We start from the raw sequence: 27779 nt of genomic DNA on the forward strand, positions 1-27779 counted from the left end.
CTGACCACGGTGACAGAAGCAATAACAGGGGTGTTTCAGGAACACGATCAGGATGTGTAAAAGCTGCTTTTGGAAAAGCACTGTAAGGAAATTATCTTGGAGATGACATGCAAATGGAGCCAACAGCTTGTAGGTAAAGGTGCCTGGGCTCCAAGTCTTCAGAATCTGCAAACTCTGAGTGGGTGTGCCTGTCCTCGGGGAAAAGGGCTCAGGGAGGTGGCTTTATTTCATGCTGAGGCCTTACTATGTTCCAGATTCCCCCGGGGGCTTGGGGATAAAGAATTAAAGATTTATTATCGCCGCTGTTCGCAGGAGGCTCAGAATGAACTGGGCAGATGTCAAGCAGAGCAAGGGCAGAGTGGAGAGAGTAAGGCTCCATCTTTCTGGTTCAAATCTGTGCTTTGCGACCCCTCAGGCCCCTGATCCGTCGCAGCCGGGGTTCAGGAGCCAGCGCGTGTGTTGAAGTTTCTTGGCCCGCTCACCCGGCCGGCGGGGAATCCTGCGTGGCTATGAGGTTTTCCGAGGCCCGGTCGCCCGCCTGGTCTGCGTTTATTTTGGGTTAAAATCGCTCTGAGCCAGTCTGCTCCCCCAGCCTGTCTGAGGGAGGTCCAGGTAGACACCGCCTGCCGCGTCGTTTTCCTTTTGGGTGACTCCCGTCCCCCTCTATCACCTCACATAACTGCATGGGGTAAAGTCGGCGGTGGGTTCAAGTGTTTTGCGCTCCCTCCACCTCCCCCAACCCAGTGCAGCCCCGGATGCTGCGTCTTCATCCTGACCCCGGAATTCTGGGGACCGCGCCATCTCTTGAGACTCCCTGCTCCTCGTGACCTCCCAGGTCAACCCGTGCTCCTCCCCAGTTCTCCACACAGCACTCATTGCCTTGGGAGACCCCCCAACCCTCGTGCTGAAGGAGGTGACCTGCACCTGTTCCGTGACCTCAGTGTTTCTTTTGCACAGATCGCTTCCTCTGGCTGGGCTGGCTGCGGTGCGTTCGCCTTCGCAGCACCACTGGAACTGTTCTTCCAGGCAGGGGCGTCTTTTCCCCCATATCTGTGAATGTGCACGGGGCTGGGTTGGGGACAGAAACCGACAGACTGAGGGACAGCTAGAAAGTCTGGAAGGAGAAGAATGAGATACAAAATAGAGGACAGGTTGGACTTAGAGACTAGCAGTAGAGAAAAAGGGTGAACTAGCAGGAGATGCAGCAGAAGAGCACATGGATTGAAAAGGGCTCTCCAGAGACGACGGGGAGCAAAGCAGGGAGGGGGTACCTTGACTAGGGGTAGCAGAAGTGGTGTGGAAAAGGGAGATACATCAGATAGAGTGAGGGGAATAAAAGAACTGGGACCACAAAAGGCAGAAAGACCTGGTGCCAGGAGCAAAAAAGAGCAATGTGACAGGGAAGGGACTTAGTAAGTGGAAGGAGCCATAGCTCAGGAAGGGGGTTGTGACAGGGAGAGTCAGCGGGGAGGAGATGAGGGGACAGGGATGGGGAGAAAGATGCAGGAATACATGCAGTTAGGGGATAGTCAAAATTTGGGGAGAAAGAATGACAGAAAGTGAAACAGAGAGGTTTCAAATAGAATAGGGCCAAACACCCTGTAGGTGGAGGAAAAGAGAGATGTGAGAAACAAAATAATGAGCAGACATGGAGAGTGAGAAAATGCAGAAATGGATAAAAAAGAAAGAGAGAAGGAAAGAGATATCTAAGGAGAGAGAGAGAGAGAGAGAGAGAGAGAAATGACTTGGGCACTGTACACATGGACTCCAGGAAGATTAGGAGTGGTCAAGCCTTTGTGTCCAGATCCTCAGGGATGGGAGTTTATATTTATTTCTGAAGGGCACACAGTAAATGCTGTTTGACCTTGAAGCTCTGGGGGAGATGACTCTGGGGCTGACGTGTGTGTCGTTCAGTCCATGGTCATGGGGATGGGAAGGACCCTCCACTGAGCTCTCACTCATCCCAGCTATGGAGAGGGGCTTGGGCTTGTCTTCCTGGTCTGGAGAGTGGCCGTCCCCAGCACTGGAACTGATTATCAATGATGCGTGAAGATCACTCTAAGAATTCTTTGTGTAGGGAGGAGGAGGAGGAGGTGAATAAACTGAGATTTGTTCAGTCCTGCTGTGTGTCCTGCTGGGGGCCCCCAGGACCTCTCACCTAAACTGCATCACACCTGATAAGAAAGATATTCCTGGACATGTTTAAGAGATCAGAAAACAGAGGCTGCAGACTTTAAAAACTTTATCTGTAGTGACACAGATTATACGTGAAAGAGCAGGACTTTAAAATGAGATCTATTTGACTCTAAAATGTATGCCTTTTCCTCTAGATTATTATGGCTGCAGTTATATGCTAAAGAGGGGTAAATAAAATGAGAAGCAGCATAGAAGAGAACATCAAAAACAAGTCAAGAGGTAAAAATTAGAATAAGTGAGGAAAGATCAAAAACATTATTAAACTCAGACTAGGCTGCGTACAGTGGTTCACACCCATAATCCTAGCACTTTGGGAGGCTGAGATGGGCAGATAATCTGAGATCAGGAGTTTGAGACCAGCCTGGCCAACATGGTGAAAACCCTGTCTCTACTAAAAACAAAAACAAACAAACAAAAAGAAACCTCAAACCAAATGGATCTCAGACAAAGGATTTATATCAGTCATAGTTTGGTGCAGGAAACGAAACCACTTTAGGTATCTTAAGCGGAAAGATATTTAATACAGGGAACTAGGTGCTCACACAATAATTAGGAGGGTTGGAGGAGTGAGTACTAGTCTGGACTTTCAGGACTTACTCTCAGAACTTTACAGAATGGGTTCTTCTTTAGGGAGCCATTGGAGCCAGAATCTTGAAACTGTTTCTGCTTCAACTGCCTTTCAAATCCCAAGATCTCCCTAGAGCATCCTGGCTGCAAGGGAACCTAGGAAATGCATCTTTTAGTCTTCCAGACTCTCCTGTACTTGAAGATCCTTCAGAGGAATGGAGCAGACCAATCATCAGCACCCACCACAGACCTGTTGTTCCAGATATTTACATAAACAGATAAAGTCATTCATATTTATTCTAGAGGCAAAATGTACTCAATTTCTGCTATGTTATCTCTCAAATTCTCCCTTTTCTTGGCATTTAAAAGTTATTCTGCTTATATACAGGGAAAACCTGTGTAGAAAGGCTTTCTTTAGAAATTAAGAACCTTCTCTTGAAGAAAAAAAGGCTTTGTCTCAGGCTTGGAGTCCTAAGTAGGTAGCAAGAGCAGCCTATGGGGTCTTGGGGAGCAGGGAAAGATCAGGGTTGGCATTACCCTAGAGAGCCGGACCCTGCTGAGCCCAATGGCAAGTGGGCAGTGGTTATAGGAGACCCCATTAATCCGAGGGGATGCTCCAGAATCTGCATTTAGGTCTTGGAGGCATTCCTGGGAGACCTTCAAGCAGGTGGCCTCTTCTTTTCACCCCACATTTTGCCAGGATCCCTGGAGAAAAAGACAGAACAGCTAGAGGTGGCTTCCCTTTCCATGTTCTGTGAAGTGATTTTGTCACAAACAGCTCCTGCTGACCCTCCTTCCCATCTCCAGTGCTCCCAGGGCCTGAAGGAAGTGGCTCCCCCACACAACTGAGGTCCCCACTGCCCTGTCCATCCATAGTAGGTGTCAATTATATTGTACAAACAATTCACAAACATCGGACATTTTATCAGACCCCATTTCCTTATTTCCAATATTATAAGAAATTCAAGTCGAGGCTGGCTTCTGCATAGACATGGTGACCTTTGGGCAGGTGAATTTTGTGAGACTCTGTTTCATGAGGCTAAGCTTTTCCTGGGCACGGCTTCTCAGAAGCCCTGAGCAGGGGAGAAAGCACTCACCAGAGTGAAGGGAGCACAGATTTGCACACCCTTAAGGTTTGTGACCTGTTAAGCTGTGGTTAGGCTGAGAATAAAGCACAGCTTCAATTCCATGTAGAGCTGGCAAAATATTCAGTAAACAGTTTTCCAAGAGCTGAACTAATTATGCAAGAGCCACGTAGCTCTGCTGCCCAGATGGGAGCAGAAGTTCCAGCTCTCGGTCATTGTGGAGAAATGGACTGTCAGAAGCAGAACATTCTGTGACAGTGTGGTGGTTGGCAGCAGAGTGGGCAGCTAGCAGGAGATGGGTCCTGACCCTTCAGCTTGATCTGCTGAGCAGTGGCAAAGAGCATCTCTGCTGGCCTGTCAAATCGTGAGGTGATTCTGGCCGAACTTGTCTCTGCAGACAGTTTCAAGATGGATATGAGAGTCAGGATACCTGTGACTCCACAAGTTCACAAGATCAAAAGGCCCTGTGCCTGTATGATGCCTGTACAGAGCATGCTGGATGTAGCTGATGATGGGCAGAGCTGCTGAAGTGAGGGGAAAGTGCAGTCCCAGAATGATAGGCTACAGTTTGTGACTTTATCAACATCAAGATCAGTAAGATGCAGTAGTTTTGCATTGCAGTTGCTCACTTCCACATTGGTTTTGGTTTCTTCCTACTGTTTTGCGCATCAGAGATTTAGATAGGGTCTAAATGCCTGTATAGGGAGATGATGTACGAGTGGTTAGAGCTCAGACACAAATTTCAAACCCATGGCTCTACCACTTAATTGCTATAGGACTTGGACAGGATACTCAACCTCTCTATGCCTTTGCTTCCTCAATGGAAAAAAAATCCTTCCTAAAAAACTCTCATGTTTGTGAATAGTTGACATGATTACCAGGTTTCTGAAAACTTGCCAGATACTGGAAATTCAGAGGCTTAAAGCTGTCTAGGGTGTGGAGTCATGGGCTTAGTTCAAATCAGTTTAGAATTCTAGCTAGGCATGGGGTGCAATCCACAGATGAAGCAATATTGCTTCAGCAGAGACTCTCTCAGGTCTTCCATAGCCAGAAGACCTCCAGGGGCAGACCCTGGAGCAGGGCACCGCCTTTCTCCCATGTTGTTGTCTTCTAAAATGTCTTTTCTTTTTTTCTCTCTCTCGGATAGGTAGGTAGGTCTTTCCTTTGTTAACAGTACAGTTGACCCTTGAACCATGCTGGGATTAGAGGCACTGCTTCCCCCGCAATAGTCACGTATAACTACTGACCCCTCAAAAAAGCTACTAATAGCCTACAGTTGACCAGAAGCCTTGCTGATAACATAAACAGTTGATTAACATATATTTGGTATGCTGTATATATCAGATATTATATTCTTATAATAAAATAAGCTAGAGAAAAGAAAATGTCATTGAGAAAATCATAAGGAAGAGAAAATATATTTACTATTCATTAAATGGAAGTGGATCACCATAAAGGTCTTCATCCTCATTGTCTTCATAATGAGTAGGATGAAGGGAGGAAGAAGAGAAGGGATTGTTCTTGCTGTCTCAGGGATGGCAAAGGTGAAGGAAGATTCAAGTATAAGTGAATCCTCGAAATTGAAAACTGTGTTGTTCCAAGGCCAACTGTAATCCAATCCAATTGTCTTTATTTCCTTCCCAGAAGTGCTGGGCACCATCACCAAGTGAACCTGTATTTGAGAGTGATATACATTGGGGAAACTTCCTCACTGTGGAGTTCTCTAGGGAGTGGGCAAAGAGATGGAGTTAGGGGTGTAAAAGGTTTATAGAGGGGTGTGATGTCTGGGGAAGATAAAGGGAAGGAAGTAGGCTGGACAGGGCAACCTCTGGTGGTAACGCATGTGGGAGTCTCTTATCAATCCAAGGAGAAGTCCAGAGCCAGGCTGCCTTTCAGAGAAGTCCCACATTGGGCAGGGGTAACCAAGCCCTAGTACTTTGCACTGCTAGGTGACTGGCTGGGGGCTACCTGGCTGGGAAGAGCATGGCCTCAGCTCACATGGCTGCCTGGCAGCCATCTTCTCCTCCCACCTGGGCTGCAAGCTCTTCCCTAGAGGGAGATGGGGCTGCCATCCCAACTGAGTGAGTTCACAGCTCAGCGGTGACAACCATGATTGGGTATTAGCCTCCAGTATGTGCTTGACAGTGTTTAAAATAATTTTATTTAAGCCTTAAGGCTACTCTAAGTTAATTTTTTTTTCTACATTTGAAAATCGAGAAAACTCAAGAGGTTAAGTTACTTGTCCAAGTTCAACTAATGGCTAGAAAAATGGCAGAGCCAGGGGATTTGAATGGATGAAATGGATGAAATGAAATGATTGTCAATGGAGATTAGAAACTTGTCTTATATTCTTTAAAAAATAGAGGGCATGGGCCTGGCACGGTGGCTCACTGCTGTAATCCCAGCACTTTGGGAGGCTGAGGCGGGTGGATCACCTGAGGTCAGGAGTTCGAGATCAGCCTGACTAACATGGAGACACCCCGTCTCTACTAAAAATACAAAATTCACCAGGCATGGTGGTGCATGCCTGTAATCCCAGCTACTCGGGAGGCTGAGGCAGGAGAATCACTTGAACCTGGGAGGTAGAGGTTGCAGTGAGCCGAGATCGCGCCATTGCACTCTAGCCTGGGAAACAAGAGCGAAACTCCGTTTAAAAAAAAAAAAAAAAAGGCATAGAGGGTGTGCATTCAGCTTATCCAAAGAACGTAGGGATTTTCGCTCTGGTCACAGTGTTTGTGGGTAGGGCAGGGGGAGGGAGGGGAGACGGACTTTTGGACTAATCACATTATTATGTGACAGAGGTCATAACAATGTCTGGTTGTAGAAGGACCAGTTATCTTCATGGCCACTGCAGTCAGAATATTGGCCTCAACAATCCAACTCCTATTAACATTCAGAAAGTAAACACAGAGGAAGAGTCTGAACTGAGAGGGTCGGGGAGGAGGGAGTAAGGGATTACCCTTAAAAAAAAAAGGATGGGCTACATTTTGCAATAAGATTGGTAAAATTATTCCTGCAGAGTTAACAGTGATAAGAATTAGAGCCCACAACTTCAAAAACAGCTTTGAGTGGCAGAAAGTATCTTCCCCAGATGCCTTATTGAATTTGAATTTGCTAACCAGCTCAATCGCCTTTATGCAGTCAGTTAGGGCAGATTTCTATGGCTAATGAAGATGAAAACAGTGAGTTCCCGTATGTCAGCCAGGAACTGTCCCACTGGATTTGTGGGGCGCACGGCAGCATCTACCTCCATTCTCCTCCAGGTGGACAGACCCATTCTCCCTCAAAGGCACTTAGGCTTATACTTGGATTTTAGAAAGCAATAACAATTTATAGTTAGCTTTGAATTTGATAAGATTCTAGGTAGTGTCTTCAGAATTCCATGTCATTAACCTGGCCAAGGCCTTTCAGATTTCAACAGTCCTTATCGGACCCGAAACTGGAAGACTGGCCCTTTTTTCATACATTTACAAAGCAAACAGAGCCCATTTTTTTGAAAAGAGATGGGAGAGGAAGCTTCTCTCTCAGGACATCGAAGATGGAATTCTGATAGATCCTCAGAGAGCAAAAGGTGACCATTAAATCTGAATCACGCCACTGGTTTTCATACAGTATATCCTGCTATTACTACACATCCAATATTGAGAACCAGGATATCTATGGTATTGTGATCATTTCCCCTCACTTGAGCCTTGGCATAGGTATCCTAGTGTTGTAGATCTATGCCAAGGCTCAAGTAAGGGGAAATGATCACTTACTTCCCAGGGGCAGTATTTACTTAAACATCCCTCCAAGAAGAGCTAAGTTGTTGAATTTGTACTCAAGACCCAGGGCTGCTCTAGGAAAGGGTGAGAACGTGGCATGGGATGAGCTGAGAGGTGCTGAATCCTGAACTTAAGGGTGATTCCAGAGGTGCCCTCCAATCTAGGGTTGCCATGCAATATTTGGGATATAGGTATACTAAAAAAATTATCAGTTGTCTCTCTGAAATTCAAAGTTTTTTTACTTTGTATTTTATCTTTGTATTACCTGTCTTTATTTATATTTTAAAATTCTGTTTTCTATCTGGCATCCCTATTTTAATCACAATCTCCAAAACTAAAGAACAGAGCCAAAGTGTCAGTTCATGTAAGCTAGACAGAAAGGTAGATTCTAGTAACCAGGCAAGGGGATCAATTAGAGAGAACCAACAATGACAGATTAAAACAAGATATTTTGAGTTGTTGGAAGCAATAGAAGTTATTGACTGACTGAAACATGCAGTGTGCTATATAATAGCGTTTGGTGAAGGCAGGACAGTTAATAGAAATGAGTGTCTAAGAGACAGGTACTGCTATTACTCCTATTTTTGCTGAAGAAATGGAGGCATGCAGAGTATAGGTAACCTACTCCAGGGAGCACAAGCAGTAGAATCAGAACTAGAACTGGAATTGGCCTCCCGTGGCCAAGTCTTGCAAACTTGATACTCTATTTAGGAGGGCTTTGCTCTTTTATTTGCTTACACAAATTTTAGGTGCTTAACAACATCAGAAACTCCCTTCTGAAGACAGTTTTCTGTGTGCAGCTTAAGGACAGGTTGATGGAAAGAAAAATCAGAGTTATCAGATTCTCCTTTAATATTAGCTGATTAATAAAGACATTGTTTAGAAGAGTAAGTTTTAGATAATAGTAATATGTGGTTGTTTTAAAAAGCCACAGTTCATTTGTATTCTGTTGTCAGTTACAATGCCTTCTATTTCAGGAACAACTGACTTCTGATCTGTTCGCGGATTCAGTAAGACCCTTGTTGAGAATGTCATGGGTGTCAAGCCCTGCACTAGACACTAGATACGGTCATGAAAAGATGCAGAGTGCACAGTGCCCGCTCTCTGAGAAACTATGCTTCTCTCGTTGCATTTTGTGCAGACCTGGATTTTCTCTTTGCCCCTCCAGACCCCTACTGACCCTGCTGTGTGGCCTGGAAGACTAACTTCTTCCCCCTTCATCTTTTAGATTTCTGCTTTTCACAAGGTTTGGTCTGCAGCAGGAACTGGGGAGATGGAAAAGGTGGAGAGAGGTTGGGGGTTTCTTGCCTGCTCCTTCCCTAAGAGAAATCTGTTTCTCTTCTAGAGTCTCAGATCCTGCAAGCAGCCCCTCTTCACAGCCAGATCTCTGAGTTCTCATATTTGTCCCCTGCCTGCCACTTCCCAACAGGCTGACGGGTGATAAAGGCCTCCCTTGTTGCTGATTCCTGGGGCTTTACCATAGCTTGTCAGTCTCCTCAATCCTGTGCTGGTTTCTCTAGATAGTCTGTCAATTTAAGTCCGTTCAGTGACCCCTTTGAGTGCGTCATCTCTTTCCAGCTGGGATGCTGACTGATAGAAGCATTGTAATCCCTCCAAAGTTACTGCTTTGCAGATGGTCTATAAATTCTGATGAAAAAAGAAATTCAAACCAAAGACAAAAAACTGAAGCAATGAAATACACTTGGGAGAAAGTAAAACTATAATGACATGCATGCTGACTGTACCCCAAGGAGAAAACAGGCCAGCACTGCCAGTACAGTTGACCCCTAAACAATGTGGGGTTTGGAGACCAACACCCCCACGCAGTGGAAAATCCATGTATGACTGCCCCAAAACTTAACTACTAATAGCCTACTGTTGACCAGAAGCCTTACCAATTAACATATATTTTGTATGTTATATGTATTATATATGGTATTCTTACAATAAAGTAAGCCAGAGAAAAGAAAATATTATTAAGAAAATCAAAAGGAAGAGAAAATATATTTATTATTTATTAAGTGGAAGTGGATCATCATAAAGGTCTTCCTTTTCTTCGCCTTGATGTTGAGTAGGCTGAGGAGGAGGAGGAAGAAGAGGGATTGGTCTTGATGTCTCAGGGGTGGCAGAAGCAGAAGAGGTGATGGAGGTGGAAGGGGAGGCAGGAGAGGCCAGTGCAGTCTGTGTAATTCGTATAGAAAAAAATCTGTGTGTAAGTGGACCTATGCAGTTCAAACCCCTGTTGTTCAAAGATCAGCTGTATAGCGTATTCCCATTCCGCCTACCAGAGTCCATCCCAAAAGAACTTCTTGTGTATGAATTATCAATGCATCATGTACTTGTGTAACCATGCAAACAGCATCCACTGCTAAACTACACAGTACACATTTCTATACATATATTTTATATAAACATATACTCTATATACATTTCACATAATTAAGAGTTAGAAGAATTGATTAGGTTTAGTAAAGAGGAAAGGCACCACCCAGGGCAAATGACTGCTGCATTTGGTCAGAGATTTCTCAGAGGACCAAACACACTTCGAGCTGTCGAAAGAGATATAAAGAATAAAGAAGGATGTTATGGGAAGAAGCTTTTGTTTCTGTGTAAGGAAAAACTTTATAACAGTGTGAGGTCCCAAAATAATTTTGTGGATTAACTATATGTTGTTTGCTCATAAGAATCACTTGACTTTGGCTTTTGGTTATATAACCTATTTGGTTCTTTAAAGAAAATTTTATGAGCTTAATTATGTGGCAAAAACAGCTTAAAAAAAAAGATTTTCTGGGCAATCCCTAATAGCCCTCTTAATATAAGGCATGCCCGTTTTAGCCCCCTCATCTGCTGAAGGCTGGATTTAAAGGAGCCTTTTCTTTCTATCTCTCTCTCTCTCTTTTTTTTTTTTTTGAAACACTATCTTGCTTAGTCAACCAGGCTGGAGTGCAGTGGCACCATCATAGTTCAGTGCAGCCTTGACTTCTCGGGCTCAAGTGATCCTCCCACCTCAGTCTCCAGAGTAGCTGCCACTACAGGAGCCACCATGACCTGCTAATTTTTTGATTTTTTTGTAGAGACAGTATCCTGCTGTGTTGCCTAGGCTGGTCTCTAACTCCTGAGCTCATGATCTTCCTGCCTTAGCCTCCCAAAGTGCTGGGATTACAGATGTGAGCCACTACACCCAGCCTTATAGAGCCTTAATGGAAAATGACATCTTGCCAGAAAAATGTAGGCATTAGTAGTCTTTTGCAACTGATAAGTGTGTCCTATTAAACAAAAACATAGTTCATAATGTATTAATATATAAGTAAATCTGCCAGAACACCGGCTCATAGTGCTATGTAAGTGCCTACTAGTATTTTTATTGTTGTTGTTACTTTGCTTTGACAACATCTCATCACATTACAGTTTTAGTTCCAGTGGGTCCTGTGTCACTCTTCCAGAGTGCAAGGTGCTCCGCCTGGGGCCTCTTCACTTTCAGGGACAGTTTGTCTCAACTCTCACCACCCCCACCCCATGGGAAGTCACACCTGGTCTCTACTTCTACAGAGAGGAGCAGAGTCTTCAGGGCGTGGCTGGCCCAGCTTCCTGGTTTCTGCCCCTCAGTGAGGCCTTGTTTCCTCTCCTGCAGCGCCCAGCTTGGGTTCCACCTCGAAGGCTACAGCAAGGCACCGACAGCCACAAGCGGTCACACGCAGACCTTCTACAGAACCTCACTCCAAGACAGGAGATAGAGATGAGGCTGGGGGAAAATTACCATTAGTCTCCAAAGTAAAAGGAAAGTGGGACTTTCTGTCTGCCAATTATGGTAGATCATTCACGTGACCCAACAGCCAGTTACAAATACTGTCACCAGTAACCTTAAACTAGAACGGACCATTAACACTACTCATTAGTTGTTTAAACTTTATGTAATAATTAAGTTGAATGCTTCTAATTTTGCAGTTTTTATTTTCTCAAAATATTTTCAAGTCTTTGTAAGATTCTCCTTGCTTATCACCTTCACATAGTATGAGGCTTATTTTTATTTTTGGTTCACATCAAAATGCAACTAATATTAATTTGTTATTGCAGTTATAATTTTTATATACACAACTTATTGCAGTGGGAAAGACCTGAGAGATTCCTAAATAGAAGGAAACTCAGAAGTCATTTTCCCAAAAAAATTGTAGAAACATTGCCTTTTCAAAGATATTAATTTATATTTTTATCAGTTTAAAAAGCAAATTACGGGTGGTTCATGCCTGTAATCTTAGCATTTTGGGAGGCTGAGGCAGGAGGATCAGTTGAGCCCAGGAGTTCAAGTCCAGCCTGGGGAACATAGCAAGACCCTGTTTCTATAAAAAATTAAAAAAAAAAAAAAACTATCTGGGCATGGTGGCACACACCTGTAGTCCCAGCTATTTTGGGAGACTGAGGCAGAAGGATCACTTGAGTCCAGGAGGTCAAGGCTGCAGTGAGCCATGCACTCTAGCCTGGGCAACAGAGTGAGACTCTGTTTCTAAAAAAAAGAAAAAGAATTGCAAAATGCCATCTAACTGATCACTTTCGAGCTGCTGACTTTAACAAAGAAACTTGTCCCTTGTTTAAGTCTGATGAAAAAGTTAATCCATCAGCAAAAAACCCTTCAGGAGTAAAAATATAATATCAATTTATTTGGGTTCAATTCAACCAATATTTGTTTATCATTTATTATGTACCAGGTACATTTCAAGGCACTGTAAATTTGGAGATGACTAAGGTGGCCCTGACCTCAGAAGCTCACAATTTCTCCCTGTGACAGGAAGCTAGACGAGGCACTCTAGTACAATGCTTGGATCTGCACTGGAACCTGGGGCATGGGGCCCTGAGAGAGTGCCACAGAGGCTGTTGGCTTCTTCTGAAGGGAGCTTGGGCTTATTCGGTCCCATGTCTGTCCCCTGTGAGAGACTAGATACTGCTTGAGGACGAGGGCCAAGTCTTTACTGCTCTTTATTCCTGCTGAAAGTTCAGGGATCAATTTATCTTTTTTATATAAAAGAAAGAGAAAAAGGGGGAGAGAGAGAGAAGGAGAAAGAGAAGAAGGATAAGGAGGAGAAGGAGAAAAGGAAGGAAGGAAGATGTTTTGGGCTGAATTGTGCACCCTCAAAATTCATACATTGAAGTCCTAACCACCAGTACCTCAGAGTATGACTCTATTTGGAAACAGGATTTTTAAAGAGGTAATTAAGGTAAAATGAGGTCATATGGGTAGCTCCTGATCTAGTAGGACTGGTAAGAAGGGGAGATTAGGACACAGACACACATGGAGGGAAGACCATGTAAGGACACAGGAGAAGGTGACCATCTGCAAACCAAGGAGGGAGGTCTCAGAAAAAAACCAAACCTGCCAACGCCTTGATCTCACACTTCTAGCCTCGAGGACTGTGAGGAATACATTTTTGTTGTTTAAGCCACCAAGTCAGTGGTGTTTATTATGGCAGCCCTGTCAAACTAATACAGAAAGAAGGAACATAAGAGGTCTTTCTTGAGTCAAACATTAAAGAATGAATGTGATTTTTTCTAAATTGAAAAAGGAAGAAGGAATGATTAATTTTGCCTGGAATAGGACAAGTCAGTAAAGATTTCATAGAGGAGATGACATTTGAGCCGGATCTTGAAGAGGTGCCAGAACTTGCCACTTGGAGAAGGAGACAAGAGGTTAAGGCAGAACAGGAAGAGTAACTCTATTACAAAGAATCGCAAGTACGTGGAAAACAGATCTAACAGGGATATCTGACGTGTGGAATTGAGGTGAAAGACTCATGGGAAATAAGACTGGACAGATAGATGAGGAAGGACCAGACTATGGAAGACCAGTGGTAGAACAAGAAGGTAGTTTACATAGAAAAAAGAACTGATCTGGTCTTCAGTTTAGAAACAGATACCTGGAGGAGAAGAGAAGGGTGAAGAGAGAGCAGGAGATTAGTCAGGATCTGTCACCGTGGTGTAGACAGAAGGGGAGGAGGCTCTGAGCTCGAGAGAGGGGGGCATGGGAATGAAAAGGTGAGTGCCAATGTCACATTGTGGGTGGAATCTCTAGAAATGATTGACCACAGCAGAAGCTGTGCTCAACAATCACACTAAGATTTTAAGCCAGGAAAGGGAAGATAACTGCACCAGGGGCAGAAATACAAAGTCAGGAGGAGGCACTGGCTATGATTGAGGGGAGATGATTTTATTTTAGATTTGAAGTGTGATAAAACTAATGTGTGTTGCAGTGATTAGGAGAGATCTGGAAGGAGAAGCTGCACTCTGGAAGAGGGTTTAGTGCCATCTGGACCCCAGTCTGTGGAGGCCACGTCATATCAGAGCAGACCTCCCACGTATGGCTGTGTTCCAGCGTTAGTCGTAAACCATTAATAGACACACTGTCCCTTTCATGGCCCCCACCCTCCTGACTACTGCCCTTGAGAATATAACCTTGCTTTACCCTTCCTTGGAGAAGGTAAGTTATGGTGCCATAAAAAATATCCCAAAGTCTCAATGGCTCAAACAGTAAAGATTTATTTCTTGTTCACATTATACATCACGGTGTCATTGTCCTCCCTCTGGATCCAGGCCACGGAGCTGCTGTTCATAGTCATCATGGCATCAGGAAGAGAGAGCTTGGCAAAGCCTTCGTGTGCACTTAAAACTTTCATCCCAGAGAGGCCCAAGCGCCGAGAGACACACCTCCTGTGTGGAAGGATTCCAGATGACAGATACAAAGGCAGCATGGGTTAACTGTCCAGCCCTCAGAATGCGCTGTGCCCTACTGTACTCCCCTCATAAAGCGGGGGGCCTTCGCAATGGGGAAGCCAGGCAAACACCACGTCGGCCCAGTGACCAAGGTCTACACGCATCTGTGATGAGACATATTGGTAGCAGGATCTTAATGGGATGTGATGAGAAGGGCGTCTCTCCTCTGTGGTCTTCCCACCCCAACCCCATACCCTCAGTCTGATAATCATGGTGAAAACATCAGACAAACGCAAATTGAAGTATATTCTACAAAATACCTGCCCTGGATTCCTCAAAACTGTCAAAGTCATCGAAAATGAGGAAAGTCTGAGAAACTGCCACAGCCCAGAGGAGGCTAAAAAAAAAGATGACAAACAAATGCAATGTGATGTCCTGGATGGGACCCCGGACAGAAAACGGACCTTAGGGGAAACCTAGTGAAATCTGAGTAACATGTGCACTTTAGTTAATGCACCAAAGTTGGTTCCTTAACTATGACAAAGGTAGCCAGAAAATGTAAGGTGTTACTAGTAGGAGAAACTGGGGGAGGGGCATGTGGAAACTCCATATGCTATCCTCGCAACTTTTCTTCAAATCAAAGTATTCTTAAGAAAAGTGTTTATATAAATTAAACAAAAAAGAGGTGCATGCCATTTCCACTCACAGAATTAACCCAAGAACTCGGAGCTCCTTGCTCACACCAGATTCTTCCTCTCAAATACTGTCACTCAATATCATGAGATTATGAAAATAAAGGAAGTCTATACCTTGTGGCCAGGAGTGACCAAATACTAAATAAATTTTTCAACTGTAGTTAGACGGAGAAAGGAAATCAAGTGAAATGGTATGCACCAATATTCTGTAAAACAAAGCAAAACAGCAAAGAGAAATAATATTTATTCAGGATTACCACTTCCAATTTCATTGACCTGTGGCCACACCTAACCCATGTGGCAGACGGTGGCAGTGTGCAGTCCCACCGTGTGTCTAGGGGATTTGTGGCTGTGCCTTCTTCCACCCTTTGGACCTGAAGCTTAGTGCCACTTCTCAGACTCCTGTGCCCTCGTGTGACTCGTTGGCTAGGATTTCGATTTTTTTCTTTACTCATCCTGGGTGACTGTCTCCCTTGGTCCAGTCTGATCCCTGGAACACCCTAAAACACAAAGTCCTTTTTTGTGTATCATGCTTCTACACTGCCTGCCTGGCCCCAGGAGCGCCGTGGACAGAGAGAATAACATCTGCGTTACAAAAGGTTATCAGAACGCAGTAGAATTGAGGCTAGTGAGGAGGGTGGAATGGAACAGACCTAGAACCATGCATGATCTGCAGGGGACACAGCAAGGGGCCTGGCTGGCTAGGCTAAAGGGTTTATGTGAGGGTGTACTAAGGAAACTGGAGGGAGATGTGGTGTTGGGTTGCGAAGGGTCCTGTGTGCTTGGCAGAGAAGCTTGCGCTTCTCCGAGTGGAGAGATTCCACTGTGTCAGTGGAAGGGTGCAGGTTGCCTTGTTCTCCACAGAGGAATCTGGTGACAGTGCTCAGGAGGGATGGTGGCAGACATCAGAAATCAAAATCTGAAAGCCAGAACCCATGTTCATTCAAATTACCATGAACATTCTGGAATGGAAAACAATAATAAAAAGAGGTCCAAAGGTGTGAGATGGAAGCTGTCAGTTTTAACTCCAAAATATACTTATCTCTTGTACACTATCTGTGGTTGAGATCCACAAGAAAGGGAGCTCCCAGAGTCATATGTTTAGATGTTTTGTTTACAAATAAACTGTCACAGCATAGAAGTTTTCCTTCTCTCTCATCTGATTTTTTTTTCTTGGAGCAGTTTATAGTCTATATTTCCACTTCTCCTCTCAAAGTAACATACACCTTTGAATGGCTCGCAGGGTCACTTCTGCCTTCAACAAATTAGCAGCTGGGCCAGGAGCCAAGATCATGCAGTTTGGTGTTTCCAAGTGGCCTTGTTGCATCTGCTGGGCTAAATTACCAGTTTGTGGGACCAGCGGGCCCCAGTGTGTGTTGCTATGCCCCTGGGAGAGAGTCTCGTGTTTCTCTAGTGTCAGGTCTGTAGTCAGTATCATTACATTCTCATTTCTTCAAATATTGCCACTGATTGGAATTTGTTTTACAAAAGAGTCACTGAGTTGGAGTCATTGCTACAAGAGTGCATTGACTTCTAGAGCAAATATAATAAAAGGTGAGTAGAAATTAGGTAATGAAGTAACAAATGTTTGGGGAAAGTGCTGGCTGCCGGCGTCCTGCTCCTGGATATCCAACACAGCATCTGTGAATTGCGCTCATCCAAGCTGCCATCAATCTGCCTTCTCTCTGCTGAAAACCTGTCTGCTATTCTCATGAATTGCCAGCTAGGTAATAATTATATCTGTCCTAGGCACTTTACTCCTTTACAGAATTTTTTATAGTGTCCGTGGGATTCCTTTCCTAACACAGAACACGACAAGGTACAACAGTTAGGCACAGTGCATGATGTGAGGGTAAAGAGAAAGGCAGGCCGGGCGCGGTGGCTCATGCCTGTAATCCCAGCACTTTGGGAGGCCAAGATGGGTGGATCACGAGGTCAGGAGATGGAGACCATCCTGGCTAACACAGTGAAACCTCGTCTCTACTACAAATACAAAAAATTAGCAGGGCGTGGTGGCGGGCGCCTGTAGTCCCAGCTACTCAGGAGGCTGAGGCAGAGAATGGCGTGAACCCGGGAGGCGGAGCTTGCAGCGAGCCAAGATTGCGCCACTGCACTCCAGCCTGGGCAACAGAACGAGACTCCGTCTCAAAAAAAAAAAAAAAAAAAGAGAAAGGCAATGTTGGCAGCCTACTGATAAGCTTCCAAATGTCTCATTTCTTTTTGCTGAGGCTTTTGATTTTGCTTTGTTTCAGAAAACATTAGCATGTAAAATTTGATTTGGCTCTCCCGCTCCCTAGATTAGAAGTTAATAAATTTCATTGGTATTTGATCTCGCCACAGGCTATTTCATTAGCTAAAGAAAAGTTTCATTAATTTTAGTGACCTCATAACTATACTGGATGGTAGACTCTGATGTGAGCAGGTAGTTACACTGTTCCTATTCGGTTTAATCTTTATATTTCCCTTGGAGATGGATGGCATGGCCCTGCTAATTTTCGCAGCTATATAAATATAGATTAAAAACAGCATCTAAGATTGGATACTGTTATGGTTCTCCTGTCTGTTCTTAGGGTAATCAGGGATGCTTCTTTGTGGGAGGGACTGCCTGGAGCAAAGGGGCCCTCCCCAGGACTTGTGGGAGGGAAGCAGGCAAGAGACATTCAGACAAAGCCCATTAGGCACCTGGAGAACTTGACAGGCTATGATGATACAGACAAATCATGGTTCCCTTGCCATTTCTTTTGCAGAAAGTAAAGAATTTTAGATCTATTACATGAATATGTTTAAAACACAAACAATTCATTGCTCCTGCTGGTAGCTTTTAAGATAAGTGGAAGAAATTATTATCCTAAATGGCATTTGAACTGTATAGTGAAAGCCCAATTTTATCTATTGTTTTGTATTTAAAACATTCAGAATAATGACAGATATGCACAACAACATGGATGTACCTCACAAACATGAAGTTGAGCAAAAGAATCCAGGCCCAGAAGATTATATGTTATTATTCTATTTATGTAATAGTTATCTAAACAAAACAAAACAAAAACAGACAAAACCAATCTGTGGCATTAGAAGACCAGAGTGGTTATAGTCGGGGGTAGTGATGGGGGGTGGTTATAGTGGTTATAATTGGGAGTAATGATGGGGGTGGTTATAGCGGTTAGAGTTGGGGGTAGTGATGTGGGGGCAGGAAAGGGCCATCTGGGGGTGCTGAAGATGTTCTATTTTTGATACTGAGTTTATTCACTCTGAAATAGGTCATTGCAAGTTGTATACTTTTTTTGTAAATAGTTTGCATTTCATTAAAAATTTAAACAAATAAAAAGAGAATTCACACACACACACACACACACACACACAAGACAGAGAGGGCGAGAGAGAGCAAGAGAGTGAGAAAGCTAGAGAGAGAGAATGTTTACATAAATGATCTCGTTTAATTTCCTGACAACAACCTGTGAAGGAGGCTTGGGGGATGTGAGGGCCCCACCCCCTGAGATGCTGTGGGTCTTGGAGAACTAAGTGCTTTTGACCCACCTGTCTTCTAAAGAGGGTCCAGTGCCCTCCCTTCCCCTCCCCTGCACCTCACTGCCTGCTGGCAGGGCTCACCCATTGTAATGTGTGGGTAAAATCAGGGGAGATGGACAAAGCCAGAGCCCTCTTGATGCTGAGTCTAGTATAGAGGAGAAGCGAAAGGCACACAGAATCCTGTACTCTGATTAGTAAGGAGAAAACCCAGATCAGAGGTCTGTAGTTTTTAAAAGCCAGTTAAACCCGGGAGGGTCCTCATAAACCCTCATGTGCAAAGGGCTTCCAAACACACTTGGTTCATAAATTAACAGCTAAACAGGAACATGGATCCCCACCGATGGCTCCATGTGGGAGTCTGAGACCAGCAAGTACTCAGCGACCACCATGGATGCCTTGTGTATTATTCGTCTCCTATTGAGAGGTGACAGTGTGCTGGCAGTCCTCACAGCCCTCGCTTGCTCTTGGCGCCTCCTCTGCCTGGGCTCCCACTTTGGCGGCACTTGAGGAGCCCTTCAGCCCACCGCTGCACTGTGGGAGCCCCTTTCTGGGCTGGCCAAGGCCAGAGCCGGCTCCCTCAGCTTGCAGGGAGGTGTGGAGGGAAAGGTGCGAGCGGGAACCTGGGCGGCACGCGGCGCTTGCGGGCCAGCTGGAGTTCCGGGTGGGCGTGGGCTTGGCGGGCCCTGCACTGGGAGCAGCCAGCCGGCCCTGCCGGCCCGGGCAATGAGGGACTTAGCACCCGGGCCAGTGGCTGCGGAGGGTGTACTGGGTCCCCCAGCAGTGCCAGCCCGCTGACGCTGCACCCGATTTCTCGCTGGGCCTTAGCTGCCTTCCCACGGGGCAGGCCTCGGGACTGCAGCCCGCCATGTCTGAGCCTTCCCCCGCCTCCGTGGGCTCCTGTGCAGCCCGAGCCTCCCCGATGAGCGGCGCCCCCTGCTCCACGGCGCCCAGTCCCATCGACTACCCAAGGGCTGAGGAGTGCGAGCGCATGGCGTGGGACTGGCAGGCAGCTCCACCTGCAGCCCCGGTGCGGGATCCACTGGGTGAAGCCAGCTGGGCTCCTGAGTCTGGTGGGGACGTGGAGAACCTTTATGTCTAGCTCAGGGATTGTAAATACACCAATCGGCACTCTGTATCTAGCTCAAGGTTTGTAAACACACCAATCAGCACCCTGTGTTTAGCTCAGGGTTTGTGAGTGCACCAATGGACACTCTGTATCTAGCTGCGCTGGTGGGGCCTTGGAGAACCTTTGTGTCCATACTCTGTATCTAACTAATCTAATGGGGACGTGGAGAACCTTTGTATCTAGCTCAGGGATTGTAAATGCACCAATCAGCGCCCTGTCAAAACAGACCACTGGGCTCTGCCAATCAGCAGGATGTGGGTGGGGCCAGATAAGAGAATAAAAGCAGGCTGCAGGCGCCAGCAGTGGCAACCCACTCAGATCGCTTTCCACACTGGGGAAGCTTTGTTCTTTTGCTTTTTGCAGTAAATCTTGCTACTGCTCACTCTTTGGGTCCACACTGCTTTTATGAGCTGTAACACTCACTGTGAAGGTCTGCAGTTTCACTCCTGAGCCAGCGAGACCACGAACCCACCAGGAGGAAGAAACTCCGAACACATCTGAACATCAGAAGGAACAAACTCCAGACACGCCGCCTTTAAGAACTGTAACACTCACGGCGAGGGTCCGCGGCTTCATTCTTGAAGTCAGTGAGACCAAGAACCCACCAATTCCGGACACACTATCACTTCTGTAACAAAATACCACAAATTTCGTGGCTTAAAACAACACAAATGTATTATCTTTTGTGTGTGTGGTTTTTTTTTCTTATTTTAGGGACAGGGTCTTTCTATGTTGCTCAGGCTGGACTTAAACTCCTGGGCTCAAGTGATCCTCCTGCCTGCCTCAGCCCCTCTTCCCTAACGCCTGCCTCAGGAGCTGGGACTACAGGTACGAGCCACTGGGCCCAGCTACAGATGTGATATCTGAAATGTGTTCTCCATGGGTCTTACTGGACTACACTCAAGGTGTCAGCAGGACTGCATTCCTTTCTGGAGGCTCAAGAGGGGAGAATCTGTTTCCTTGAGCATTCAGATTGTTGGTGGAATTCAGTTCTCTGTGATTGTAGGACTGAGGTCCCTATTTCCTTGCTGACATCAGCGGGGTCATTCCCAGCTTCTAGAGGCCACCCCCGCATTCCCTGACTCTAGCCTCTTTCTCCATCTTCAAAGCGAGCAACAGTGAGTGGAGTCCCTCTCATGATTTGAATCTCTCCTGTCTTCTCATCTCTCTGACATCAGCCAGTTCTCTACTTTTAAGAGCTCATAGATTGTGCCCTCCTAGTTAATTCTGGATAATTGCCCCATCTTGAGATCTATAACCTTAACCACATCTGCAAAGCACCCTTTGTTGTATTACGTAAAGGGTTCCAGGGACCAGGGCATGGACATCTCTGGGGGCTGTTATTTGGCCTACCACATCTCAGAACACTATACGGAAGAGACTTTACCCGAAACATGAGCACACGCACATCTGGGGCCGGCCCTCCTGATTGTGGCTGTGGCACTGAAGAATTTGCAGCAGGTAATGCAAAGCATTAGCAGACCTAGAGTGTGCTCTTTGTCTTACATCTTGGGTGTGAAACAATTCATTGCTGGTGTTAGAAAGCAGATTCCACTGAGCCAGGAGAAACATGAGGAAGCCACCAAAGCAGTCCCATGTATGTTTTTAAAAAGTTGCCATAGGGCCCGGCACGGTGGCTCACGCCTGGAATGCCAGCACTTTGGGAGGCCAAAGCAGGTGGATCACTTGAGGCTAGGATTTCAAGACCAGCCTGGTCAACATGATAAAACCCTGTCTCTACTAAAAATACAAAAATTTGCTGGGCATGATGGCATGCACCTGTAATCCCAGCTACTCAGGAGGCTGAGGCAGGAGAATTGCTTGAATCCGGGAGATGGAGGTTGCAGTGAGCGAGATTGCGTCACTGCACTCCAGCCTGGGCAACAGAGTGAGACTCTGCCTCAAAAAAAAAAAAAAAAAAAGTTACCATAACCCACACAGTAGCATTGGCATCACTTTCAGGTGACAAAATGCGGGAGCTGTGTGCTAACATCACCATGAGAATGCTGGTGCTGTGGGAGTGCACCACCGACTGCGTGAAACCGACTGCGTGAAACCGACAGGACAGAGGTGTCCACTCCTCCAGGACAATTGGTGCTGTCCCCATGGGTCAAGTGGTGACTGGTACTCTAGGTGCAGATCTGGTGGTCACTTTTTCCAAGTCAAAACAACGACCGAGGCAACTTCTATTGAAATGCTTTGCTTACAGCAAAGTTCTGCCTCATGACAGCATAGACTTCAGCATCAGAAACCTGTCCATCAGCGATGTTCATTGCAGAAGGAATGGCTTCTCCCTGCTGTGGAAGCTTCCAACTTTGCTGCATAGATGAGAACCCTGGGCCATCCAGGCCTAATCAGAGTTGGCCAACCCCCAGGCTGAGTGGCCACACTGCTCCGTTGTTTGCAAGGAGAAGTTTGATGTGGCAAGAAGCTGGAAAAGGCACAACATCTGGAAGTCTGGTGATGATATTGCAGTTGGTGTGGTTCCTGCCAGGGTCACAAGTATAAAGAGCTTCTCAGACCTGAGATAGTTTTGCTGTCAAGATATGACAGAGTCTGCAGCTGTGGGTGTCATGAAGACAGTTAACAAGAAGGCTGATGGAGGCAGCAAGACAAAATGTCCATCCAGAAATCTGAGGTTAAAAGAATATTCCATCCCACATCTGTGCCCTAGTCTCAATCTGACCCAGAATTGACTCGGCACCATTTGTCCTGATGGACAATTTGAGTCATTTGTGTTCAAGGGTAAAACATCGGCTACTGGTACAATGGACCATAAAAGCTTCAAAAGGAAAAGAATGTTTTGTGGACTAGTTGTTTCACAGTAATATTAAATTTTTAGATTTCAAAATAGATGTTTTAAAATGGAAACAACGTGACCAAAAATTGGCCTCAGAATTTTCAGCCCATTAAAACAAAATTTAATGTGGAAAAAAATTAAAAAGAAATACTGTAGGATAAAGATGAGAAAATCTTCTAGGAACTGGAACAAAAATACAAAGGCATTTTAAAAATAGGAGAAAAAGACAAAATTAAATGGTCTATCCACAAGGCCCAACATCCTACTAAAAGGAATTCCAAGTGAGAACGAGGGAAATGGAGGGAAGAGTTTGTCAAAGATGTCATTTAAGTAAAAATTTCAGAAATGAAAGACACAAGGCCTCAGGGTGTATCTACCACATGCCAGCACACGATGAGTGCAAAACACCAGCAGCAAGGTATGTCAGCATGTGTTCTCAGAGGCTGAGATAAAAAGATTTAAAAATGCTCCACAGAGGAAAACGTAGCTCATATACAGAGAATGAAAATTCAAATGCTATTGGACTTTTCAACAGTCCTGTTGGAAGCTCGGAAACTGAGCAGCAGGCCTTCAAATTTCTGAGGGAAAATGACATCTATCCTAGGATTCTATATGCAGTTAACTGGGTATAGTCAGATGGCACGACAAAGACAATTTCAGACAGGCAAGGTCTAAAAAACATGTATTTTCCATGCACACTTCTTAATAAACTTAATCAAAAGAAGAAATAAATTGAGAAAAATGATTTGGGATTCAGATCCCACACAGGAGAGAGTCACAGGGAGTTCCCAGGTTGTGCTGGGTGGAGCCCCAGGTGTGTGGGCCAGGCCTGGGGAACAGCCTGTGCAGGTGGGTCAAGAAGATAGGAGGCTTCAGGAGGGATGTTTCCAAGAAAAAAAAAAAAGGTGTATTATCTGATACCTTTGTCTATATTTTATTCAGAGGAATTTTGTAGCTTTGTTTGAAGAATTTGATTAGGAATAAGTGACAGGTACATAGAAAACTGCACAAACGAAAAGAACATACTATCTCTGGAAAAACAATGTTGTGCTAGTAACAAAATGTATTTATAGTATATTATGTGGCTCAGCCTTGAGCCATATTCACATGGTTGTAAATAAAGTAAACATTACATATTGATTGAGCCAAAACTTGTGACATAACTACTTTAAGAGGATGGGAGTGAGGAAGTACAGGCAGTGGGTGGGAAGGGGGATATGTTGATGTAAGAGCTGGATTCCAATCTTATGTAATAGGAAGTCAGTAGATGATGCTTAAAATTATAAAATGAAGAAAAAACCCACAACCATATAAGTGTATCATTTAAAAATACAAAGGAAAATTCCTAAGAAAATTCCTAAAAATTCCAAAGAAAAGCTAAAAGAGGCCAGATGTGGTGGCTCACAACTATAATCTCAGCACTTCAGGAGGCTGAGATGGGAGGATCACTTGAGGCCAGGAGTTCAAGACAGCCTGGGCAACATGGTGAGACACTCCCTCCCCCCTCCCCCTGCCCTGGTCTCTAAAAAAAAAAATTAGCTGAGAATGGTGGCACGTGCCAATAGTCATAGAGGCTGAAGCAAGAGGATTGCTTGAACCCAGGAATGAGCTGTTTTCACACCACTGCACTCCAACCTGGGCAACAGACTGAGACTCTGTCTCCAAAACAAAACAACACAAAAGAGTCACCTCTGGGGGTTGGAATTCAGGGTAGAGGAAACGGTGTCAGGAAACTTCTTTTTTAATTTCCAGGACTTGTGGTATATTTGAATGTAAAAACCTTTATGTAAAGCCGGGCTTGGTGGAGTGTTCCTTTAGTCTCAGCTACTCAGGAGGCTGAGGCAAGAGGATTCCTTGATCCCAGGAGTTCGAGACCAATCTGGGCAACATAGCATGACCACTGCCCACCCCTGCCTTCTGGCCCCATCTCATTTTTTTAAGAGAAAAAAATTTCAAAAAACCTTTATATATGTATTTCTCTGACAAAAATATAACTTAAAAAATTTCAAGGAACATTAAACTTTGCCTGCTATTATAGCAGTTATGTCTCAATACCATAATGTAGGTCAGACTTGCATAATGCATGGCTGCTGGTGGCATTACACAGCAGATGCATGACTCTCCCTGGGACAGCCAAGGGTAAGGCCAAACAGAGCTGGCTCATGCTTTCCTTCCAGGTTTCCCCATGGACTTCCTTGAGTCCACTTTTTTCTTCTCTCAGAATCACAGGGTTACTGAGAAAGAGTTGCTTAGATATGTATTGAGAGCCAAAAGTGACATATACTGAGGTCATTAATAATGTAGGGTGATTATCTGGAAAATTCTGAATAATTCAGCTAAAAACATGCAATATTTTAATGGCAGGGGCAGTTATTTGAATTGAATTTCCTGATTTTGGTCTCCACCCTAATCAAATTTACTAGACATCACTGGACATTGACTTCTCCCTGCCTGGTAGCCCAGTTTGAGAGCTTTGAGATAGAGTTAGCGCCCAACCCAGCTGGAATCCCCACATAGATTGACTTGAGTCCCTTTTGCTGATCTTAGAACTCACACTATCCACATGAGCATCTTTCTGAGGCCATCCTTTCCCTCTCTGTTGTTCCCCTGCTTTAAGCTCTATGCTAAGGGGCTGTCTGTATGAAGTTAGGAATCAGAATTCTGTGTATTTGCAGACACTGGAGGCTGACCCAAGCCAGGCTACCCACCTGATCCAGCTTTCCTATATTTGTATGTGGCAGAATCTAGTTGTGATTTTAACTCCGTGATGAACTGTGTGACCTTGGGCAAGCCATTCAACCTCTCTCAGCTTTAGTTTCTTGTACTTATGTCATGGGGTTGTTGGAAAGATTAATTTGGGGTTTAACCTGGTATGTTAACTGCTCAAAAAATATGAGCCATTTTTGAACAGAAATAACTAGAGAAAGCCTCTGCAGTGACATTGAGGGGACAGTCTTATCTCAATCAAGGCTTCGCTGGGCTTCTGAAGCATTTAGCACAAATCCTATCTGACATAAATTGGAGAAGTTGGTCCCTCTAAAATCTAGATTTTGTGGTTCTCAAACTTCAGTAGGTGTAAGACACACTTGGAGAGGTTGTAAAATGCAGATTCCTTGGCTCTACTCCTAAGGGATCCTAATTCTGGAAGTCTGGAGTGTGGCCCCAGAATCTGCATTTTCACAAGCACTGGAGAAAAACCTAGGGCTTCGTCCATCCTATGGTGTTTCAAAAGATCTCCCCCTCCAGCCCCATGGGTAGAGAATCAGGGTGGAGTCCAATTAGGGCGTGATTGGTGTCCAGGGAAGTGCTGAGCCCCCAGGGGACTAAGGTCCATGTTGGGTGGCCCACCTAAGGAGTAAGACAAAAGTAGGAACCAAAAGCACACAAAACCAAACAAATTGAATAATGAAGAATAGAAAATGAACAGAAATGAAGCAAGTCTTTAAAAAATAGAGACAGGATCTTGCTCTGTCACTCAGACTGAAGTGCAATGGCATGATCATACCTCACGGGTCTCAAACTCCTGGTCTCAAGCTATCCTCCTGAGTAGCTAAGACTACAGGTGTGTGTCACCATGCCTGACTAATTTACATTTTAAAAAATAGAAATGAGGTCTTGCTATGTTACCCAGGCTGGTCTCAAACTCCTGGCCTCAAGTGATCTTTGAGCCTCGGCCTCCCAAAGTGTTGGGTTTACAGGGATGAGCCACTGAGACTGACCAGAAGCAAGTCTTTTTACATGGTTGCATGGGCATGTCAAATGCACATAAAGGAATCAAGACAGAGTAAGATAGTTAAAAAACGACACAGGAGACAGGACTGTGAATGTCTGGTGTCCATAGCTCAGAATGTCCTGGAAAGAGGAGGGAAGGTGGGAAGAAGGGGATAGTAGATGACCTGATTCTGGGCCTTGGTGTCCCTATCTCATGGTACAGGACCCTGCCCTGGCGGGGGGGGGTCTCATGACAAGTGCCTCCTTAACTGAGGAAGGTCTTGGGCAGCAGCTCGGCAGACATAAGCCCTGAATCTCATGCTATATTTCAAAATGGGAGGATTCTCCCAGGCAAATAAATAAGGGAGTTGTTAACATTGACAAGATGGCCCCATGCAGAGTCAGTTCCTCTCACAGGCTGCTTGTAGAATTAAACAAAAATAATAACCAAATTACAGAGTCAAATTACAAAGAACAAAAAGTCTCTTTACCTACTGCTTCTGAAGTCTCCTTTCTCTTCTGTGTAAACTAATCTGATGAAATGAGCTGCTTTACTCGTTAAATATGTCAACTCCCTGGGGATGTATCCCGCCAGGGGCAGGCTGTGTAAGATCCAGCCTCTTCGTACCACCACTTCAGCTGCGATAAGAAGGTGCTTAACTTGACGGGTGAAATAGAGCGAGAACACTGGTGATAGTCACTGCTTAGTTCTAAGTGTGCTTCTGTGCAGTGATTTAAGCAGCACAGAAGAGGGGGAAGGGAGATTTAGATACATTTTATCTTTATCTTTAGTTCTGATAGGATATGGCTCACACATCCCAAACCCTAACCCTGCTTAATCTCCTTACTTGTGGGGAATTCAGCTACATCTAAATGTTTATGTGCTGCTGATGGTGGCAGGGGACATCTGTTTCAGAGGTACGTGCAGATCATCAGAAAATTATCTAATGACTCAGTGTCTCCCGGTAGAGGAAAACATTGGTCTAATTAGAAATCCTGAGCCAGAGCTTAAGTTTCAGATAGAAGACAGCATCCAGGGACAAGGAGGCTTTGTAATTACTCCCAGAATTCTTTTACATAGGGTTGTGTGTGTGTGTGTGCGCACGTGTGTGGTACGATGTGTGTGTGGACTGTGTGTGTGTATGGTTTGTGTGTTTGTGTGGTCTGTGTGTGTGTGTGTGTGGTCTGTGTGTATGGTCTGTGTGTGTGGTGTGTGTGTGTGTGTGTGTCTGTGTTTATGTGTGGTCTGTATGGTCTGTGTGTCTGTGTGTGGTCTCTATGTGTGTGTGTGTGATCTGTGTGATGTGTGTCTGTGTGCATGTGTGTGTATGTGTGGTCTGTGTGGTCTGTATGGTCTGTGCGTATGGTTGTGTGTCTGGTCTGTGTGCATGGTCTGTGTGTGTGTAGTCGGTGTGTATGTGGTTTGTGTGTGATCTGTGTGGTCTGTGTGTGTAGTGTGTGTGTGTGTGTGTGTAGTCTGTGTGTATGGTCTGAGTGTGTGTAGTCTGTGTGTATGTGGTCTGTGTGGTCCGTGTATAGTGTGTGTGTATGTGGTCTGTGTGTATGGTCTGCATGTGTGTAGTCTGTGTGTATGTGGTCTGTGTGGTC

General features: G+C 45.0%; 1 pseudogene, besides 2 other annotated features; it reads left to right on the forward strand.

Moving 5' to 3' along the window:
* Positions 304 to 861: an enhancer, noted in NCBI's record as "H3K4me1 hESC enhancer chr1:228890621-228891178 (GRCh37/hg19 assembly coordinates)". NCBI's record gives its function as "activates a minimal SCP1, AML or CMV promoter by ChIP-STARR-seq in naive H9 embryonic stem cells {active_cell/tissue: H9 hESC(naive)}" and the evidence as "EXISTENCE:reporter gene assay evidence [ECO:0000049][PMID:30033119]".
* Positions 862 to 1418: an enhancer, noted in NCBI's record as "H3K4me1 hESC enhancer chr1:228891179-228891735 (GRCh37/hg19 assembly coordinates)". NCBI's record gives its function as "activates a minimal SCP1, AML or CMV promoter by ChIP-STARR-seq in naive H9 embryonic stem cells {active_cell/tissue: H9 hESC(naive)}" and the evidence as "EXISTENCE:reporter gene assay evidence [ECO:0000049][PMID:30033119]".
* On the forward strand, positions 21742 to 22295 carry LOC100421842 (eukaryotic translation elongation factor 1 alpha 2 pseudogene; annotated as a pseudogene).

Source organism: Homo sapiens, chromosome 1 (assembly GCF_000001405.40).
Source record: "Homo sapiens chromosome 1, GRCh38.p14 Primary Assembly".
Lineage (NCBI taxonomy): Eukaryota > Metazoa > Chordata > Mammalia > Primates > Hominidae > Homo > Homo sapiens.